Genomic DNA, 24167 nt, shown 5'->3' on the forward strand with positions numbered 1-24167 from the left:
ATAATTTTTTTCTTTAAATATGATTCTTTTCCATAAATTTCCTAAGAAGATAATCACTATGGATAGCAAAACTCACAACCAAATGACCTACGCATCAAATTCATTTCAGAGTATTTACTTAGCTATTTAATTATATGGAGTTATGTTGCTTGTTTTCCTTTAAATAATTCAACTTCCCTTCTCCAGCAGGTTCTTTTATTTTTATTTGGTTTCTTTACTTTTTCTCTATTCATAATAGAGTCTACAGTGAATTGGGTCATTACAGTAATACCAATGCCCTGAACACTTTTTTTTTTTAACTGTCCTTTAATCTTATGGATCTGGCAAAACTTAATTAGAAAATGAGCCTCACTGTCCATTTTCCCAGCTTGCATGAAACAGCCTAGAATTGTCTGTGGGGAGTCTCAAAATACATTAGGCATGTATTCCTAATCACTAATCTCAAATATGCTATAATTACTGTCAATTCTACTGCCTTTCTGTGATCAACACATATTCCAAATTTTCCCAACTATTTCAAATTCTGTGTTCTTAAATATCTTGCTTTTTTTTTTTTAAAGAAACACCTTATTCATGCTCACTCTAGGCCAGACACTCTGATATATCATTTAACTCTCATAATCACTTTGAAACATTTACTCTGAAATGTTTCAGAGCTTCTTAACCCTTAAACTGCTGAAATCCAAACTCACCATCAGCCACTAAACAATCGGTCCTCTTTTGATATTCTTTATCTCAGTAATTGGTAGATCCTTGATTTAATTCAGCTAACTAGAAATTTTGGAGAAAACCTTAACACCCCTCCTTCACATTTAACATCCAATACACTGCCAAGTGCTGATGATTCTATCTTCCGAATCTTTCTCAAGCATGTCTAATTCTCTCCAACGCTGCCACCATGCTTAGCCATGCTACCATCATCTTCCATCAGGTCTATTATAAGAAGTGCTGTAATAGTTTTCCATGTTGTATAACCAATTACCACAGAATTAGCAGCTTAAACATGATGCATTATTATCTTACAGTTTCTGTAGAACAGAAGTTCAGAGAGGGTCCCCTGCTTGGTGGCTTAAGGTTTAAATCCAGGTGTTGATTAGGCTGCTTTCTCATCTGGAGTTCTGGGCCTTCTTCCTAGCTTATTCAGAGTGTTGGCAGAACTCAGTTACTTGTGGATATAAAAATGAGGACTGTTTTCTTGCTAACTGTTGGCCAGGGAATGCTCTCAGCCCCTAGAGTCTTACCCTTAAGTCCTTCCATATGGCTCTATCCATAGGTAGTTCACAATATGTATGCTTATTTTTTTCAAGGCCAGCAGCAGAACCTCCCCTGTTTTGAATCTCTTCTTTAGGAAAGGACTGAATTCTTTTTGAAGGACTCACTTGATTAGTTCATGTCCATGATAATCTCCCTTTGTTGATCTAAAGTCTTTAATTACATCTTCAAAATTCCTTCACCTTTGCCATATAACATAGCCTTATCATGAATGTGAAATCCCACCATATCCATAAGTCTTACTCATATTCAAGGAGAATGGATTATATAGGGTATATACATAGGAAGTAGGACTTTGGGAACTATCTTAGAATTCTGCATGTCACAATTGCCAGGCAGTACCTGGCATCCATCTTTGTTCCCTTCTCTAATGCTGGAAGGATTTTCTCAAACACAAATTTGATCATTTTATTCCCTAAATTAAACTCTATTTTGTTTCCCATTGCTCTTAACAATTAAAATACATTTTTACAAAGAATACAGTAGCTAGCATGTCTTGGCCCTAACTACCTCTCTAGCTGTATCTTCTACCAGATTCTTTTCAGTCTCTACATTCAAGTTAAATGATTTTTAAAAATTCCTTTTATTTACCACGCTTCTTCTTGCCACTGGGACTTTGTACACCCTGATGTCCATCCCTGGTCCTTTCTTCCCTCTCTTTTCATCCAGTAGTTTTAATGCATTTTCTAGATCCCAGATTAAGCATCACTTCCATAGACTAACTCCTCCTTTTAAGGGCATTCTTTGCACTGTGCAGTTTTTTCAGCTTTCCAAGCTGAAATTTCTCGTCTTATGAAATAAATATTACTGTCTCCTCTACTAAGCTGCTTAGGGAAGAGACCAGTTTGAATTTTTATACCCTTGTGTGTTCCTAGCATTAGGAATAGTAGCTAGCATAAGTTCAATCAATATATGATGACTGACTAAATGAAATAAAATTTCTCACATGGTATCTTTCATATTTGGTTCTGAAAAGAAATGTGGTCTTCTTTCTAAAGCAATTAATTATATTCGTGAATATTTGCTTATAGTTTATGTTTTTGAAGCAGTAATTAATGGTGTGAACCCTTTAATAGAGTGTATATGGACCTAATGTGAAAGTGACATATTTGAAAATTGCCTTTCTATGAAAAGGCTCAGATTTTGAACAATTTAGAACAAATTGATTAATCTCTTACTGTCATAAGGAACACCATCATTTAAAGGAATATTAAAATATTTGCCGAGAGGTTTTAATTGTAAGATTTTTGAAAAGAAAAACTATATTCTGACACATGAAAATTTGAAAGACATTTTAGTATTAAAATTGTAGACATAACAAAATCTAATAGAACATACAATAGCAAAATATAGTTGTAGACATAACAAAATCTAATTGAACATATAATAGCACAATATAAAACTGCAAACACTTAGACCTGTAGGAATCTTAGTAAAAAAGTAATTAACCAAGTTGATTATACTTTTAATCTGATTAACTCCGTATAAGGAATCTCCCATGTTAAAATTAGAATATTAATTTGAATAAGAGAAGGAATGTGTAGGAGAAAGAAATCCTGCCAAACCTAATGCCTACCAAACAGAGATGTGTATTATTGAAAAAGACTGATCTACTAAATTGCCACATTTTCCAGAGTTCATTTTCTTATGTCTGCCTAGGTTTTCAGATTCAATATTCTAAAAAAAAAAAAAAATTCAAGACTCGCCTCTGCACCCAAGTATTCTAGAAGATAGGACCCTGAACATCTTCTGATCTCAAAGTTGTCAAACTATCAAACCAGTGGAGGACAAGGAATTCTCAATGGTTATCCATATTTCTTTCTTTCCTTTTTTTTTTTTTTTTTTTTTGAGACAAAGTTTTGTTCTATTGCCCAGGATAGAGTGCAATGGCGCGATCTCGGCTCACTGCAACCTCCACCTCCTGGGTTCAATTGATTCTTCTGCCTCAGCCTCCCAAGTATGTAGGATTACAGGTGGCTGCCACCATGCCTGGCTAATTTTTGTATTTTTTGTAGAGGCATGGTTTCACCATGTTGTCCAGGCTGGTCTCGAACTACTGGCCTCAAGTGATCCACCAACCTTGGCCTCCAAAAGCGCTGGGATTACAGGCGTGAGCCACCACACCAGGCCTCATATTATTTCTTAATATATCTTAGAGATGTATATTACCAGTTATAAACTAAGAAAATTACCTTTGCAAATTGATGTATGACATGATATGACTATTTCTTGAAGAATAAACAATATTTTAAAAACAAGTATGTATAAGAACAATCTCTCAAACAGGATCATTCTTAGTACATATCTAGTTCAAATTTGGAAGCCTACTATTAGATGCATACACATTTATGATTGTTATATAATTTTAATGAATTGATCCTTTATCATTATATAATGTTTCTCATTATTCCTGACAATATGACTTGTTGTAATGTTTACTTTGTCTAATCTCAACATAGCCACTAAAACTTTATTTTGATTAGAATTTGCATAGTATATCTGATTTCTGTCTTTTACTTTTAACCTATCTATATCTTTATATTTAAAGTGGATTTATTATAGACAATACATAAATGAGTTTTGCTGTTCTATCAAATCTATCAATCTTTACTTTTAATTAGGGTGTTTACCCGATGAATGTTTAAGGCAATTTGTATCATCCGATTTACATTTGCCACCTTGCTAGTTGTTTTCTACTGTCTAATCTTTTATTTTGTTTCCTTTCCTTCTTTGGGGATACTTGAGCATTTGAAAGTGACTTTATTTTATCTTCCTGATAAGCTTATTTTTTACACCTCATTTTAATTTTTAAATTGCCATTCAAGGTTTTACAATATACACTTTTTTTTGACATGGATTTTTACCAAAGAGAAAAACCACATGATTATCTCAATAGATGAAGAAAAGGCCTTTGATAAAATTCAACATCCCTTCATGTTAAAAACTCTCAATAAAATAGGTATTAATGGAACATATCTCAAAATAGTAAGAGCTATTTATGACAAATCCACAGCCAATATAATAATGAATGAGCAAAAGCTGGAAGCATTCCGTTTGAAAACAGACACAAGACAAGGATGCCCTCTCTCACCACTCCTATTCAACATAGTATTGGAAGTTCTGGCCAGGGCAATCAGGTAAGAGAAATAAATAAAGAGTATTCAAATAGGAAGAAAGGAAGTCAAATTGTCTCTGTTTGCAGACAACATGATTTTACATTTAGAAAACCTCATCATCTCAGCCCCAAAACTCCATGAACTGATAAGCAACTTTAGCAAAGTCTTAGGATACAAAATCAATGTGCAAAAATCACAAGCATTCCTTTACACAAACAATAGGTAAGCAGAGATCCAAATCATGAATGAATTTCCATTCACAATTGCTTTAAGGAGAATAAAATACCTAAGAATACAGCTAACAAGGGAGGCTGAAGGACCTCTTCAAGGAGAACTACAAATCCCTGCTCAAGGAAATAAGAGGGACACAAACAAATGGAAAAACATTCTATCCTCATGGATAGGAAGAATCAATACCATGAAAATGGCCATACTGCCCAAAGTAATTTATAGATTCAATACTATTCCCATGAAACTACCATTGACATTCTTCACAGAATTAGAAAAAAAACTATTTTAAATTTCATATGGAATGAAAGAAGACCCTGTATAGCCAAGACAATCTTAAGAAAAAAAATTGTAGGCATCACACTACCTGACTTCAAACTATGCTACAAGCCTACAGTAACCAAAACAGCATGGTACTGGTACCAAAACAGATATACAGACAAATGGAGCAGAATGGAGACCTCAGAAATGCCACCACTCATCTCAACCATTTGATCTTCAACAAACCTGACAAAAACAAGCAATGGGAAAAGGATCTCCTATTTAGTAAATGTGCTAGGAAAACTGGCTAGCCATATGCAGAAAACTGAAACTGGACCATTTACTTACACCTTATACAAAAATTAACTCAAGATGGATCAAAGACCTAAATGTAAAACCCAAAACCATAAAAACCCTAGAAGAAAACCTAGGCAATACCATTAAGGACATAGGCATGGGCAAAGACTTCATGACTAAAACACCAAAAGCAATGACAACAAAAGCCAAAATTGACAAATGGGATCTAATTAAACTAAAGAGCTTCTGCACAGCAAAAGAAACTATCATGAGAGTAAAAAGGCAACCTACAGAATGGGAGAAAATTTTTGCAATCTGCCCATCTGACAAAGGTCTAATATCCAGAATGCACAAGGAGCTTAAGCGTATTTACAAGAAAAAAACAACCCTATCAAAAAGTGGGCAAAGGATATGAACAGACACTTCTCAAAAGAAGACATTTACATGGCCAACAAACATATGAAAAAAAGCTCAACATCACTGATATTCAGAGAAATGCAAATCAAAACCACAATGAGATATCATCTTACACCAGTCAGAATTATGATTATTAAAAAGTCAGGAAACAATAGATGATGGCAAAGCTGTGGAGAAATAGGAACACTTTTACACCACTGGTGGTATGTAAATTAGTTCAGCTGTTGTGGAAGACAGTGTGGCGATTCCTTAAGGATCTAGAACCAGAAATACTATTTGACCAAGCAATCCAATTACTGAGTAAATACCCAAAGGAATATAAATCAGTCTACTATAAAGACACATGCACACATACGTTTATTACAGCACTATTTACAATAGCAAAGAAATGGAACCAACCCAATTCCCCATCAATGATAGGCTGGATAAAGACAATGTGGTACATATACATCATGGAATATTATGCAGCCATAAAAAGGAAGGAGATCTTGTCCTTTGCAGGGACATGGATGAAATTGGAAGCCATCATCTTCAGCAAGCTAACACAGGAACAGAAAACCAAACACCACATGTTCTCACTCATAAATGGGAGCTGAACATTGAGAACACATGGACACAGAGAGGGGAATAGCACACACCAGGGCCTGTTGCTGGGGTAGGGGGTGAGGGGAAGGCACTTAGAGGACAGATCAATAGGTGCAGCAAACCACCATGGAACACATATACCTATGTAACAAACCTGCACGTGTATCCCATTTTTTGGAATAAATTAAAAATATATATACACTTTTAAGCTATTGAAGCATGTCATCAAATATTATTCTCCTTCACAATGTAGTATTAATTTCTTCCCTCTCATCCTTTGCTATTACTTTTGCAGATTATATATATATATATATATATATATGCAAGTGATATATTGTTAGCATTTTGCTCTGGAGATAATTATATTTTACAGAAATTAAAAACAAAATGCATCATATATTTACTCTGACTTTGCAAAGACTAAATTCTTCATGTCTTGTGTAGATCAAAATTTCTTGCTGGTATCATATTCCAGCCTGCAAGACTTTCTTCAATATTTTTTTGTAATGCAGGTCTGTTGTTAATGAATTCTCTCAAGTTTTGTTTGTTTATAAAAATATTAATGTTACCTTCAGTTTGTCTTTACATAAAAGAAGTTCAGAAGCATCATGGTTCCAGGGATGGTTAAACCAGTGATTCAACAGCACCATTCAGCATTGTTTTTTAAAATATTTATTCTCTGCCGCCCTAGGAATGTTGGCTCTTGTCTTAACCTTCATAACCACAGTATGACTGGATCAGCCCAAAGAATCTTATAGTTTGGTGCATGAACGCCTGAAAAGAGAATGCCTCTTTGTTCTTCTCCCAGAACACAAAGAGCATGTTTTCCCCATTGCCCATTGGCTTGAATAATATTACGTACATACTTTTAAAATACTCTTTATCAAGGAGATTGCTACTAACATTTTCCCCGAAGGTTGTACAGAGGTCCAGATCCTCCTAACATAGAAGACTGCTCCGATACAATTGCAGTTCTGTAAGTGTAGGAATTGACTGTTGGGTAGACAACCAAGAGAGGTAGCCTAGACCTGCTCTCACTTTTATTATTTCAACTTGGTAAGAAATAGATGTTGTCAAATGTGTTGGTTTTTCATTTCATAAAATGAGAATTATGAGAGGAAATTGACCTTAAGCCACTTTTATCTTCAGTCATTTAAGGAAGTTATTTCTTCTACATATCAATGATGTGTTTAGGCACTCGCACACAATGTCTTACATACATCTGGGGAGGTTTTCTGAGATGCCTTCCCTCAAGAAGCCACAGGAAAACAAGTAAAAGATGTCATCTCTAGTTATTTACTATGTTTAGTTTACATGTCTTAACTCATATTTAAACATCATAGAATCATAAACCATTGCATGAGATTAAAATAAAACTTTCTTCTTACTTTCCATTTAGTTACTTAGTGTACTCATCAAGTGCATACACAGCTTCTGGTAAACATGTTCTCAGAAAAGGAATTTACCACAGTCTGAGGAAATCAGTTTAAATCATAAGGTTTCTTACAGTAAACCATGTTTTTTCTCTAGAGAGAGTTTCAAGCTGCATGTGTCACTTCTGCCCTCTGGCTGCAGTGGTGTGCTGGAGCTGGGCTTGATGGGTTTGAAAGGCAATTGTGTGTATCTCTTCTCAGCTCTACATTCAATGGCTTCACATTGGTAGCCTGAAATTAACTGCAGTGGAAACATTTACACTACAAAAATCAGCAAATACCACAAATCAGGATTTTTTACTTCAAAAAATTAGTTTACCAACATATCACTGCCTCTGGGGTAACATACATTAAACTCCACCTTTCACAAAAATTACTAAAATATTTTAGATTATTTCCCTCTACCTCCTCCACTACCTTCCTATCTCTTCTTTTCCATGTTAAAATAAACATCCTTGTTCAACTGTTTTTTCTAAACATATTGTTTTGTGTATTTTCATCATGTTAGTCTTACAGGAAAACAAAACAAAAGAAAGCACCAATATGTTAATAACTCTATTAAAATGTGATATCCAAAATAGTCTAATGTCCTTTGGAGGTCCCTTGTACACAGGTACCATCATACTATTATTCTTAGTTTTTTATTTGTATAAAATAACAATAACTTGTTTTGTAGATACTTGGTTATATTAGTTCATGTTAAACTTACAGTTTTAGCTTCTTGAAGAATGTGAACTATTCTCTATATTTATACCACACATTTAGGCCAGTGGGTGGCAAGCTGCTTTCTGTAAAAGGCCACATAATAATTATTGCAGGCTTTGGGCATATGGTCTTTGTTGCAGCTACTAACGATGCAGTTGTAGCACAAAAACAGCCAGAGATAATATATAAATGGACAGGCAGGATTGTGTCTCAATAAAACTTTATTTATAAAAATAGATGGCAGCATGACATGACTTGAGGACCATAGTTTGCACACCTCTTATTTTGTCCAACAGAGTAAGGCAAGAACTGCACTATTTGTATTAAAAATCAGTGCAATAAGGTGTATAACCCTCTTTAGGTTAAGTGCTCTTAATCTGAGTTCCATTAATTGTAGATAGATTTCACTGGGTCTGTGAACCCTGAAGTTTCTAAGTAAAATGTTTTGGGCATATATATTTATGAAGAAGAGGATACATAATTGAAATTAGATTCTCAAAGCAGCCAATAACCTACTTCTTACCCACACCCTCAAAGAAGGGGGTGAACCTCTGCCTTGGATGACTATAATAATGTAAGAGTAGTTAAGACGTCCAAGCTGTGGGAGCAATTGTCAGTAGTAATTAGCAAACACAGGGAAATAGCAGCAAAGACACATAGAATAACAATATAATCAACAAAACCTATATTAAAATAAACGTATCATAAAAACACATATTAAAATAAAATTCTGGATGGCTCTGACTGATTTTTCTTTTCCTTTTTTTTTCTATTTTATTTTACTTTTTTGAGACAGAATCTCACTCTGTCACCCAGGCTGGAGTGCAGTGTCACTATCTCGGCTCACTGCAACCTCCACCTCCTGGGTTCAAGTGATCTCCTGCCTCAGCCTCTTGAGTAGCTAGGATTATAGGCATGCACCAGCATACCTGGCAAATTTTTATATTTTTAGTAGAGACAGGTTTTCACTATGTTGCCTAAGGTGGTCTCGAACTTTTGGCCTCAAGTGATCCGTTTACCTTGGCCTCCCAAAATCCTGGAATTACAAACAAAAGCCACCACACTGGGCTCTGTGACTGCTTTTGATGGTAATATCTACCTAGGAACAATAAAGCAAGTAGGTGCATTCAACAGGAAATAGTAAGAGCTGGTTATGAGCCAGGATCCATTCTGTGGTAAAGAATTAGAAAAATGGTATACAGAAGATCAAAGATACATAAACTGAAACAACACGTATTGTCACTGATCACTCATTACACACACGACTCTTTTCTGTCAAATCCATATGCATTTTTTTTAAGTTGATTTACTTTTCATTATCACCAGGAGCTGGCAATTCTAAATAAGATCAGCAATAAAATACTCATTCCCCAAAAATCTTTTATTTTTTTCAATCAGTGGAAACATTTTTATTTATTTATTTGCATCAATAGTAGAGACCAGTTTAATTCCACATAGTATATATGGTATGTTAATTGAACACAAGGTTTTTGAATTCATTTACATATATGTTTTCTATAGGTCATAATGTAGAAAAATATATTTGACAAAGGTTGTACACTGTTAGAACTCAGCTACGGAGCTATATAACTACTAAAGTATAAAACAAAAATGGAAATTATATCTGTCTCTCTAATCACAAAAGATGTATTACTATGAAATTGTTAGCAGCCAAATTCTTAACTTTGATGAGTGTCAGGGCACACACAATATCTAATAGCTGGTGTTTTAATAAAAATATTTAATAATAATAATATTACATAGCCTTCTGCAATGTAATACTATTCATTTTTAAGACTTCAAAGTCAATGTTTAAAGAAAAAAATACCTATTCTTATTAAATTTTCCACTCTGCAGCCAGTGGCAATTATTCAATCTCCTATTGAAAATTTATTGTTCTCGTAAAATATTTGTTTTTTCTGCCCCTTATTCTTAGATTTTTTTATTGCTGTCTGCTCAGAGAAACAAAAGCACTATGACAATAAAGATATTCATTTTTTTAATTTGTATTTTTTTGTTATTGTTAAAATCTAGCATAAAATTGTAATTTCTGACATTGCTTGGGGGTTTTATCTTCAATCATGAAATCTACAAAAACAGATGGCAATACAAATGACAAAACATTCTTTCAGATTTTGGAGAATTCAAAAATTTGTGTGTCTGTAAATGTAAAATATCCATAACCACTTTTACACACAGTCCTTACCAAATATAAATGTTTGTAGTGAAGGCTACATCAAGTCAAGTGGCCAAATATGTTTAATCCTGTTATGATCCAAGTATGAAAATGAGTGACTAAATGAATGTAATTTCTTTGTTTTTATTCAGCTGTAGTATGTCTATGAAAAGTACTGTATTTTCTTTTAAAGTAACTTAGTCTCCACACTTGGGGAAAGAAGTGTTGAATATATATGCACACCAAAAGGCATTTTATCTGACCTAATAACCTCCAAAAACAGCACTGGCAAATAAGAGTTATGGTACAGTTGTAGGTATTTTTCCACATGGTTTTGGGCGAATGGAGAGTACCGAAGAAATGCTTCAGATAAATATATGTGCTATATATGAATATGTACCCTCCCGGTAACTGGAAGGAAAGTTTTAATTCCCACCACATAATGGCCCATTTGCCTCGAGTGTTTCAGAATGGTTCAATAATCACTAGCCATGTGTGTAGTTTGTTGAATTATTTAAGCTTATTTCCAGGGGGAAAAAAGACAGGGAGGAAGGCAACTGATTCAATGCAAATGAAAAGCTTTTGAAGCTCCCTATGGTGAAGATGTGATTACAGTCAGACAGTTAATAACCTAGACTTAGAAAAATCTGAAGGTTTTAAAACTGTCTGGCCAGTCAGTAAATGAGGTTTTTCCACACTATCGACCAACTGCCATGCATTGTAATGGTTTCAGATCTGTTTGGAGTTGGAGTGGACCCACAAATGAAGCAAGAATACCACCCCTGTACTTTTGATGATTAAGAAAAGTAGTTTGTAAACCTCCACGGTTTTCCTTTAGATTTGGGATTGAGTCTTTAGTGCAAACAGCTTATAGAGCCATGTATGGTGAGCACTGCTCTCTGAAAAACAAGGAGATAGAACTTGAATTGTTAATTTGCAAAGTACCTATATTTTGGGGTGAGGTGTCTCCTCTTAAACTAACCACTGTTCCTCTACCATGGATATTCAATTCGTGTATAACTGGAGAAAACTGCTGCTGCTAGACGAATTTCTGGGCAGCAGTATTCTTTCCGGATATTAGATCAAATTAAAATAGGAATTAGAAGACCTAAAAATTTATTTTAATAAAAATTATAATACTTATCAAATAGGAATATAAAGTTGGAGACCTAAGATTTTATTTTAACCGCTACCAATAATCCGTTTGATACATGTATGAAAAATATAATTTTATTCTTGTAAATGTTCATCGAATATCTGTGTGGTACAAAATTCTCATCTACAAATCTCTTTGCAGAAATGATAGAAGGACACTTTTTATGGGTTTCATGAAGATTCTTTGTAATTAGACAAGTGTTATATATTTGATTCAGGTAAAACTTTTATATCGTTTATGCAGTAGTCATGAGAAGTTTGAACTTGCTTTGAAAACATGAAGGTAATGGCAAGTGTTTTTTCTGATTTGAGTAAAAACAACTCAAAATCTGTTATGAGCTCTGTGGATAAAATTTTCTCTTTAGACACAAAGTCTAGTTCAAGTGTTTTCTGCTTCCCTTAAATTTTAAGTGTTGGTTATTTTATTGTTGGCTAGGAGTATGAGACAAGAAACACTTTTTAAACATTTTACCTTATAAGGGATTTTGATGCCCTTCTGTAATAATTTTCTTATTAGAATTGTTTTAGTTATTAAAACTATCCAGGATTTGTCCTCAGGGCCAACAGGAGCCTGTTATGCAGCTGCAGTAACCTGGGGTGTGTGTGTGTGTGTATGTGTGTGTGTGTGTGTATGTGTTTGTATGTGTGTGTGTGTGTATGTGTGTCTTTCATTAAAAAAAAGTAGAGGCAAAAGGGATATTAATGTTTCTGATCATCTGAGGGAAATTTCTTACCTCCAGACCTAAGCACTGAAATTTCTTCTGCATCAGCAAAGGTGTATGATTTAGGTAGTTTATATTCATCCACACAGAAACTTTTTTTTATTCAATTCTCTTTTAAACCTGTAAAATCCCATAAATCATGAAAAAAATCCTTAAAGTAGAAGATGATCAGTTGTATAGCAAATGTAGTATTTTAAATTATTCTATCTCATAATCCCCCAACCAGATTAATTAACAGTAAGATACTTATCTTGGGGGGAAAAAAGACCCACCTACCCTTTCAAAACTCTTTTGTTATAACTCAATTATTGAGGGAGTTTACTCTTTGAATTTCATCAGCAGTTTTTGCTCTATGCTGCATTACAGAATGAAATACTGGAGTTTCTCATTATGAATGAAGATGACTTTTTGTCAAATAAGACATAAAATGGTCACTTTTCTTATTTATTTATTTTTGCTTTCTCTCTGAAGAAAAAATTATGTAAAGAACAGAGAAAAAAGTAAGAATGCAATAACATTGGGAATTATATGAAGCTTGATTCATCTTACATTCAAAATGCTAGAATTAAATTTTTAATTAAATTATTTTTTCTTGAGAAACCACACAAGAAAGAAAACATTTGTATGTTATCTGGAAAAATTTAGACATAGTAATATTAGTTCCAAAAAAAATATTGTTTTGCAAACTTAAAAATAAATTTTATCTTCACAATATATGGTGAATTCTACTCCCTATTTTTAACATTTGGTTTCAAATCATCAAGTTTTATATCAGGAGTCAAACTGTTTAATTGGCATAAAAGCTCAAATTGTTCAACTTGGCATAGCTACTATTTCATTTTAGAAACTGCCACGTAAATAGCCTTTCCTTCTCCAAGATTACCAATATTTGATCTATATTTACACAAGTAAACTAAAGAAAGAGATCATTCACAAAATTATACACTTGCATTCTGTTCCAAAGTAATAAAATATTCCAAAGCAAACAGGCAACAGCCTCCATACTCACAAATGGAAAATAAAACCTCCGTCCATACAAATCAAAGGTCTACATTAATGAGGGTCATTGGATAAAAATGTATTTCCCTACATGACTGCAAGGGAAAACATTAAAATGTGTGGAAGAGGTCAGGATTTAGCTTTGGAAAAACATAAGTGAAAACTTTTAAAATAAAATTATGTTGTTGTCATTTGTGAGGTATTTGTTTCTATTTTATATATACCTAAATCAGCTGGATGTGATAATGTCTCAGGAAAACAAAAATGTAAAGTATAAAAAATTTAGACAGTCTAGCATTATCATACGAACTGTTTTCTGATAATATCCAAATTAGTGAATTGGCTACCTTTAAAAGAAAGCCACAGGTTTCAAAGTTTTATCAGCCTACATGTGGATATAGCAAAATAAGGGTACTTTAAAAATGATATAAGCTAAAAATGATTAAACTAAACATACGGACTATATAATACAGAGTGTTTTCTTCTCTATCTCAGATTTTGGCACAAATATAACATGTTTTCTAAAGGATGATATGTGTTTATCTGTGATATGTTTGTTGAAAAATTTGCATGAATGATATAAACTACTATATGTTATAGATACTATATGTTAAGAATAATCCTTCAGCAAAGTTGGGTAAGGAAAATATAAGCTGTAGCCAAAAAAAAGAAAATACAAGAAACATTACCAATATAATTGTTACATATTATATATTGAAGGGAATAAAAAATTAAATAATCTTATTGCTATATATTTAATATGTGGACAGAACCCTTCTACTTAAATATTTTCAGTGAGCATGCAACTTTAATATACTATGTGAGTAGAATTAAACCCAAACCCAAAACCCAATCACTTTTTTGCCTTGACTGTTTTCCCAATAAAAGAAAGGAATGAAAACAATACTTTAGAAATGATTCTAAAAAGTACTATAATTTGGAAATGAATAATAGACTTGCATTTCAGATTTTAAAGTTGCATTTCCCCAGTAGGACAACAAATTCTGTGTAGAAGGTCGATTGCTGACAAAAATCAGCGTCAGCACATCCAGAAATTGCATCCGATCAAAAAACAAAATGAAACTACGTCTATTTAACTCAGCATCCTATTGGTGTGAAAACTGAAGTGGGAAGGAGAGAGTGGAGGGTTCTAATTGATTTTTAGAATCCAGAGAGTTAAAAAGGTTGGTGTCCAGAGTATTCAGAAATATGCACACCATATCCTAAACCAGTGAAAGAAATAAGTCTGGGCAATACTAGCTCAAGGTTTTCTTTTGTGGCTGTTGTTGTTGTTGTTTGTTTGTTTGTTTGTTTGTTTTTGTGGGGTGAAAAGAGTAACTTCTATATGTGAAAAAATTAAGCATTTCAGAATCATACATGCTTGGGTATTAAAATGGATTATTTGCCTTGTTCATTTGGGAAAGTCCCTATCAATAACAGGTGTGGCTCAATCACATCGCATTAAAAGACTAGATTGTTCCATTAATAAAGAAAAGAAGAAGCTAGAACTGTAAATCAACAGGGACTCCTAGTGAGTTATATATTAAGCAGTAATTAAATAATAGTTCATGTTGCTTTCTTTCACTGGGAATTACATCCTTTTCACCTCCTCTCTGCTAAAGCAGAGACATCCATTACGATGAGTAGCTTCAACACTTGTCAGATCGAATCAGCTCCAAACAGCTGAAGGCCAACTGACGTGTACTCTCTTAAAGCAGGGTTTCTTCTCCCCCCAAAGCCCACTGTCCTTTCACGTGCATGCAACAGTCAAAAGGGATCACATCACCTAATGAAGAAAAACAGAAGCATATGGTTGGAAGGGGCCCCAGCAGGAGATGGCTGAAATGCCAAGGCTTGCACATAAACAAAATATATGCAAAAATGTGTGCTCATAGAACCTGTCAGCCACAGCTTCAGGAAATAATAAGCCTGCAAAGGAAGATAGAGTTGTACTGTGACCACGGTTACCTAGGAGTCTGTATTTTTAGTTTAATTTTTTATTGATCTATAAAGTGGTGCACCAGAGCAGGCTAGTCCCAGGTAGTTAACTATGCATAAGCAGTTGCAAAGTTCGATTTTGCTGTATAATATTGAGCCACATATTCTTCACAGTATATTTTGCTCATACCTACTGCAGACTTCCACATGACAGCTGAATTGCAAACTGTAAGTGACTTCATTGCTGCCTTCCTTTTCGCACCCCATCGCTATGCAGGGTGAATGTTGAACTAAGTTCATGAATGCACCCTGTCTTTGTAACTGGAACATAAGGGCTCATCTTTCCAGAGGTGTATTAATTAATATTTTAGAGGTGCATTGGGCACATTCCCTCTTACTGTTTCTTTCAAATTTGCCTCTGTGCAAAATTAGCAGTCTTTATCAAAGCTCTTTCTTCCAGTAATGGCTCTGATCATGAGAATATGGCTGTCCTGATGCACAGAACCTTTATTATTTGTTAGTGAAAATGCACATTATCCCTGCTTTTGACTTGTCAGCTTTTATGTTGGGACAACCTTAGTGTTATCATTTTGTATAATCAGTTTGACTGGAACTTTCAAACTTTTGTGTCCCTTTGCTGTGAACATTTTAATATTTTGTAATGATATTGTTAGAATTGGGAGATTTGTAATGACAGAACTTGAAGATGAACCCTGTGTGATTTATAAAATATGACTACAAGCATTTTTCATACCAATGTTGACAACAGACAAAACAAGATATTGTTCTAAAAATCAAAAAGTGACATGGGATCTCCTGTGCATGACTGCAGTCATGAAAAAAAATACTATCTTCAAGTTGAATAAAAATGCTTTCATTTGAGTTTTAAGCTTCAGTTGCATAAATAAGATCTTTGTTCCATTTAGATATTTTGCATTTTATATGAGGAATAATCATATTTCTAACATTATATTAAAAATGCTTTTTTTAACCTCTAACCATCTGTTCTCAATGGCACCATTTTAACCTAAGAAAGTAAACATATTTATATATTCATTTATTTTATTTAGGGGATAATATGAAAATGAGTTATCTACTTTTAATTCTTAAAAATAATTCTGTGTTGAAAAGTGCCTGAAATTATGGGACTGTCTTTGAAATTTAGCACCTGTTTGAAATTAGGAATGCAGTTAGTTATACAACAAAAAATTGGTGCAATGAAGTTTGGTTTCTCAATGCTTCAACTGCTTCATATACATTTATTGATTTGTTTGCTTCATTGTACACGTATAAATGAATAAATGGCATTTGTGAGCAATTTTCTTTTCTTCGGAAGTGATATGAAGACACTTCGCTAGGCATTAACAAAATCAGAATAGCAGGGCTTCTGTATTAATCTTTACCTTGAGCTAGCCTTTCCCGATGGATATTCTCACTGTTGACAGCAACATGGGGTAAAAAACACATTCATGGATCATTTTTAAAGGCTTATTTTGTTCTTTCTCTCTTGTCATTTCATCCCAAAATTTCCACTTTGAGTAACTAAAGAAATCAGAAACTACAACTCAGGAATTTGCATCCTAATGAAACAGAGACTCCAAAACTAACACTGACTGAATCAAAAGGATGGCAGAGCTCCAACAGGTAGCTAGTTATTGGAGTCTATTCAGGAACAACTAATTGAGCCTCAATGCCAGTAAGTGAGGCCATGCCTTACCATGCATTTTCTTCTCTATGGACAGGTATAAAGAATTGGCTTGAGATATTTCTCAGAATCACTTTTTCTTTTGGCTATGATTTTTTAGGTGGATCTAAAACAGCTCTGCTTGGCCCAGGATTGTCCCAAATGTCCTTTTAGCTACTTTATTACAGGCAATGGGAGAGTCAGAGCGAGCAACTTCAGGCAAAATGTTGACTCCTCGTGATGTGCCTTTGATTCCAGTGCAAAGATACTCTCAGCATTCTGTTACGCCCTTGATTCATCTCTTAATGCTCAGTGTGTTAGCAAAAGCTTGGCCCTGAAGTGCTTTTTTTTTTCTTTTTTTTTTTTTTCCTGAAGTACAGCCTTTCAGACACTTCTGGCAATTTGGTTTTAAAATGTGAAATAAAGAGACTAGGTCCTTAGTGCCAGGGGGAAAAGCTGTGCTACACAATTACTAGAATAATTCAGAAAAGAAGAAAAAAAAGAAAAAAATTTGCCTGAATACTGTGGTCATTACGTATTCTGGTTGGAAAAGACCTTACTTGGCAAATATTTTGCAAGAGAATATAAATATTTCTGCACAGTCTCTAAGATAGTTTTGAGTGGTTGCTTATTTTCTTCTCTAACCCTTTGAAAAAGTCTCCAAGAATAAAGTAAAGCAGATATCTAATATCTTAACACAATAAAAAGCAAGCAAGACTATTGCACATGTTGACAAATATAATCAATTTCTTAAAGCTTTTATTATTAGCCTCTTAGAGCATTTAAAAATTATTCCCAGTTATCATGATCATGTGCAATTTGTAACAAATAATTTAATTCATACTTTACTAGACAAAATATTTGAAAGAACTGACAAAATTTTATACAGAAAAATATTTATGGCCCTGATAATTTTGAATTAAAGTGGAATAATTGCTACTTCATAAACATGCAGTTCTTCCTTTTTAGTTATAAGTATTTACATTTAAAGAAGTATGGTTGGTGTTATAAAATATTTTACGTTAAATGTATATTGAGAACAAAGATAGCATGATTTTAAGGAGTACATTATTTAAATATAAACTTACATTTTCAACCTCATCAAAGGTAATGTGAGTGCAAATTAAACCCATCTTTTTTCTTATATTACTAGGATTGTACTATATCCTATGGAATTTGCAAACACTGAATATTTTCATATCTTATTTGATCTCATGAAAATGAAAAAACTACTAATATCTAACTAGAGGCAAGTGGCAGAATCCAGCTAAACATATTTCATCAATTCCACAAAATTAAGGACTTTCCTATTGGCCAAGAAATGATGTCTCATATTTAGCTGTCGGCAGAAATCATTTCTCTTCTCAAAATTATATTCTAACGAAGGCAACTCTTACCATGGTGTTCCAGTGCAGACACTTATCTTAGAACATAGAAAGACACATTGGATCTGTGAATGGAATCTTTTTCACCTGGAAAAACTGCAACCCTTAGAGGGTTTTTACTTTGTTTGTTTGTTTTACTTTTATTTTAAGTTATAAATGAAATAATGGGGAAAAAAAGCAAAGCATGTAGAAGAGATGGAAAATATAAAACAGTATGCCTGTAGGAGAATAGCAGAACTGGGTAAATTAGAAATTGAACAAGCACATTGATGATGTTTGGTATGACTGGATTGTTGAAGCACCTCTGATAATATCCATTTGACTTTTGGAACATTTAGACCTTTCTTTGAATTATTTTTAAACAGGACAAAGAAAAAATAGCTACTGAAAGCATTCTCTTGCCTTCCCTAGTCCCTTTGATATTCCTAGATGCTAACCAAGCTTGCTTTTAAATATTGTTATTTTACTAACATCAGTGCACCCTGCTGCTCCCTAATGAGTTATTTATTTTAGTGTTGAAAGTTTGTGTAAAGGCTTTAATGTCCAAAGTATGAAAATACAAAATGCAACTGAACCTGTGGATCAGATCCCAATAAGCAAAAAGAGGAAACCAAATAGTACATATCCTTTAAGAACATGTTGTTTGAATACAAAATCAGAATAAACATCATTATTTGATTCATGGAGTCATTTAATATATTTTTATATGAAAGTGCCAAAGCTGGATGTATAAATGTGTTCAAGTACAAAGACGCAAAGACCACGTGGTATCAGAAACAATATGAGACATGGAATTTTACTTTGCATTTTAGCAGCACTGTCAAAACATTTAGGGCTTCATGTATTTTTAAACATAGGTGTTTAACAGTGACGAATTTGCAAAGCTCTAAATATTAGCTCCTGGAGGTTATGCTTTTTATATTCGCTAATAGCATATATTATTTGACTAATTGACAGATATTTCAGCTAAGAGAGCCAAAGTTAAATATTGTTTTGATGGAGTAGCTCCAAGGATTGACAATTTGGCACTGCCTTTCAAAGGCTTGGCATGTAGCTTTCAAAACATACTAAATCACCCACATAATCAATAATGCTGTAATAATAATAATAATAAATGGCCCTCGCACAATTAATTTTCTGTATGAATTGTGATTTCACACCCCCTACTCATTGTCTTTGACAGGTAAATGGCTGAAGACAGAAGACTTATTATAGATTTTATATCCAGCCCATGAGGATTTTGACTGATTCCATTGAGCAAGCTCAGGTCAGCTAAGTCCTTTCCTTCAAAGCATCATGGGTGTCTCCGAGCATCATTGCAAGCTTGTCCTGGCAGTAAGCCAGGCTTCAAAAGCCTTTCACTGCAGTCACTGACTCACTAATGGGCAACTGCAGGCTTTCTGATTTTCCTTTCGTTTCATGTGTTCATTTGACATAAATTTAATTAAACCAAATCTGGTGTTAAAGCAAGACGAGATAAAAGTGATATGTTTCAAATTAAAGAACTGTGAAAGATACAGGAAATAGAATTATGCTTTTTTAAAAAAAAATCTGTTTCTGTAAAATATTGTCAGTTTTTGTAAGCTCATGACTTAAAGTTGGCCAAAAAAAAAAAAAGATACCGGTATGCATTATTAAGAATAATGTGTATCCAGGGTTAGATGAAGGTCTTGGCCCTATATTCTCTGTAGTAAAACCTTTCATAGAATTCTTATTTTTTCTTTCATTCTCACACTTCAGGTAGTCACCTCTTCACAGGATATAAGACAAGTCTGCCCTTCTGCTGGCTACATAGCTATAGTTGTTAGACAGCTCAAAAGCACACAACAGCAGAAACATGAAAAGATCATATATTAAATATAAAAAAATCATCATTTTTCAAAGATCTCTTTTGCTTTTTACTTAAGGCTAAAGAGGAGATTGTGAGAGTGAAAAAGAGCACATTGCTTAAAAAGCTCCATTTAATTGCTTTGAATGTTGCTTTAGGAAACATCCAAGTTTCTCCTTTTTTAAAAAATCTCTTTTTGCCCATTAAAAGAAGTCTTGGACTAGAAATACACTACATGAACTAAAAGCAGTTTTGCAATCTTCTTCAAGAATGCTCAGACTGATCCTCTTCCTTTCTGCAGCTGAAATGCTGCCACTTCCTAGGACCACACTCTAAGTCGCTGGATGTAAAATGATTACTCTGAGCACATACACACCAACCAGTAAGTGATTGCAGTGTCCTGTGGATAAGAATCAGAAAAACCAAAAGAACTGAGCTGGCGAGTTATGCAGTAGAAGGGAGATTCCTCGAAGCATGAAACAATGTGTGTCATATTGACCCTCCACCTTTGTTGCACCCCATCTTTTGATGGCCAACTTCTTCTCTTGCAAACAGAACTCAGGTGCCTTCTTCATACTCCCCTGACTTGATTCGACTTTCTGTAGAATCCATTAGGGCTAAAACTCTCAGGGTTTACAATAATCAAATGCATCTGTGACTTCTTTCATTTAACAGGTGAAAAACGGAAGGGCCAAGACAAATTAAGTGACTTGTCCAGGATCACACAACCAGTTATTAGCTCTACTGAGAAAAAAATACACATCTCTTGACGCCCAGATGAGTGTTTTGTTTTCGTTATTTAGCATTTCGAGTGCTTCTGTACAACATACCATTTGTATTCTTTGAAACAAACTCTTCGGATATTTCCAGGTGTTTTTCACATTTCTGACCTGAGAGAAAGTATACCTAATGGTATAAGTAGACTTAAAATCTATTTAAAATTCTCAAAAGTTTCTAATTCTGTTCTTTTAGTAACTACTTAAAAATGTTAATTGTCTGTCAGTCCTTTGGTTTGGAGAACTGCTTATGGGACCACTTTTAGGTTATGATAGGGAGAAGACATTACACATGAAAGCCATCCGGCTGTCTAATATTACAGAATAAGCCTACATTTCACCAGCATCCGCTCAGAGTGATAGCCCTGAATACAATGGGTATTTAATGTTCCTTAAGAAATTTCACTTGAAATGTTACTCTGAATCCAAATTATCATCAAAATGGAAAAGATAGAGATTGTTATATTTCCTGTTAGACATAGAGCCTTAAATAAACCTTCTGATTCTTTTATGCATAAACCTAAATTTACTTACAGAGTTATTACTTACTTTTTATACCTAATTATGTCTATCCGTATACACATTTCTAATATAGACTCAGGTTTTAATGAAGACTGTTTTAAAATGCTTAATGAGACTGTCAAGGTTCACATTGATAGCCTGTGTTAACATGGCTTTATCAGTGTTTGTTCAATCTACCGAGTTTATTTATTCAGCAAATATTTATCAAAAAAGAACTCTGTGCAATTCACTGCATACACACAGAAAAATGCTGAGCCAACCACTGAGCACTTAATAATCACTCTACATAGCAAAGATGCCATGCATTTCTTAAGGTAAATATTATGCCTTTGAGTAATTTTACAATGTTAAACTTGACATATTATCAAATTTTTATAATATTGAAATTCTAGAATTCCTTAAGTATTTTATTTTAGTAAAGGTGAAATTGCTGGCGACACACCTCAAAGGTAAAAGTTTTATAAGGTACTAGATGATCTAACCATACTACGTAATTGAATTGATTGATCGGTATGTAATTTAGAATGTTTACAAAGCTTGCCACTCTGAACAGCTGATAGGTAAATAAACTATTTAAAATCACAAATATATGTAAAGTCCTTCAGTGTTTACCATAGTGGCAAAAATAAAACGTCATTTTTTTTTGAGACAGGGTCTCACTACATTGCCCAGGATGGAGCGCAGTGGCTAGTTAAAGGCATGATTGTAGTGTGATACAGTCTTGAATTTGTGGGTTCAAGTGATCCTCCTGCCTCAGCCTCCCAAGTAGCTGGAACTACAGGTGCATGCCACTGCGTCCAGCTAAATGTCAGTTATATATAGTAATACGATGACAATACAAAAATTTTCATTCCTTAATTTGTTGCAAATCTGTAGAATTAAACATTTTTGTTAACAAAACTAGAATACGATTTTAAAATAGCATGCTTAATTACCACTTCCATTTCAGGAAAAAAAATATTATGCAATCTTCCTGTTTTTAGAAAAGCAGGTAAAACATAACTTTGCCTTGGTAACAAGCACATGAATCCTTGTTACAGAACAGAATCTTCCTAAAGCAGAATGACTCCCAAGGTACAGGGAATCCTGAGTGTGTTTTCCAGGAAATTTTTTTTTCAAGTTTCTCAACAGTAATAAAAGACTTCTGACAAACTGGTATCAAAGATTTCTTTGAGCAAATATGAGAAACTGTCAGCTTGCCACTTCTTAATAGCAATAAGAAGCAAATTATTTATAAAAACTGATGTGTGAAAAAATTAGAGTTCAGAGAAACAAGAAAGAATTTCCAAAGTAATCTTTAGAAATCAGGTTTTTAGAAAGTTCCCTCTGATATTTAAGCATATTACAGGGTATGAAGTATCTCCAATAGTCAGCATTAGGTTTAATGTCCAAACAACTGTCATCAGGTAACTAGTTCTTGAAAATAAATAAGAAGTGTAGCCTGAGGCTTGGCAGAGTCTATTCCTCTGTTGTTAAGAATTTAGATAATATCTAAGGCTTGGTGCCTCACATCTTTAACTTCCTCAGGGTGAGATTATGGTGGAGAATACTCAATACAGAACATTAAAGGAAAAGTAATTTTTTTTAGAACAACCATTGTTTGGTAAATATGGGTGAGTGATGGTCTTTATAAGCCTCTATGGCCTCCCACGCTTGTATCTTATTTGGTATCATATTAGATAAAATCAATCCTTCCCACAGAATGTCTTCTAGGTCATGCAGCCTAAGACTTCCTTCTTCTCCCCTCCTGCTCCTCCTTTTTCTCCTCCTTCTTTTAAGAAAACCACAGTAAGAATAAAAAGAGTTCTGCCGGGTGCGGTGGCTCACGCCTGTAATCTCAGCACTTTAGAAGGCCGAAGCGGGCGGATCACCAGGTCAGGAGATCGAGACCAGCCTGGCTAACACGGTGAAACCCCGTCTCTACTAAAAATATAAAAAATTAGCCGAGCGTGATGGTGGGCGCCTGTAGTCCCAGCTACTCGGGAGGCTGAGGCAGGAGAATGGGGTGAACCCGGAAGTCGGAGGTTGCAGTGAGCCGAGATGGCGCCACTGTACTCCAGCCTGGGCGACAGAGCGAGACTCCATCTCAAGAAAAAAAAATAATAATAATAAATAAATAAAGAGTTCATGCTTGCCATATTATTGTCCACATACATTTTATTTTATTTATTTTCTGATTGACAGAGTCTTTGGCAAGGAATATTTTGTCAAACAAAACTTTACTAATCTACGTTATATGCTAACGTAGAAACTGTTAAGAGGAAATATGAAAATAACTCTAAGGCCTAAATGCTGTAGAGTAAGAGTTAGCAAGTAAACTAAATATAGTTAATATTTTAGGTTTTGCAGGTGATACACTCTTGGCCACAACTGCTCAGTTCTGCTGTTGCAGAACTTATGCTGTCTTTAATAATATCTAGATATTTTGCTTATAACTTGTTGTGGATTAATTTTGATTTTTAACATATTGCATTAAATATGGCTTATCTTCATGACTGAACTTTTTGCACCCCTCCCCACCCTTAGGTTCTGTGCCTGAGGTGAGTACCTAAATTGCCTTAGCCTAGTTTCAGCCCTATGTAGCACAAAAGCAGCCACAGACAATACATGTATAGATCAGCATGCCTGTATTTCAAAAAGTTATATTTATAACACACTGAAACTTAAA

General features: G+C 34.2%; 1 long non-coding RNA gene across 1 annotated transcript; it reads left to right on the top strand.

Moving 5' to 3' along the window:
• The first annotated feature begins 15232 nt into the window (after positions 1–15232).
• Positions 15233–23587, top strand: LOC105376085 (uncharacterized). The gene is made up of 3 exons (NR_188607.1): positions 15233–15532; positions 19557–19640; positions 20877–23587. It is a non-coding gene; the product is annotated as an uncharacterized LOC105376085 (long non-coding RNA).
• Positions 23588–24167: the final 580 nt, after the last annotated feature.

Source organism: Homo sapiens, chromosome 9 (genome assembly GCF_000001405.40).
Source record: "Homo sapiens chromosome 9, GRCh38.p14 Primary Assembly".
Lineage (NCBI taxonomy): Eukaryota > Metazoa > Chordata > Mammalia > Primates > Hominidae > Homo > Homo sapiens.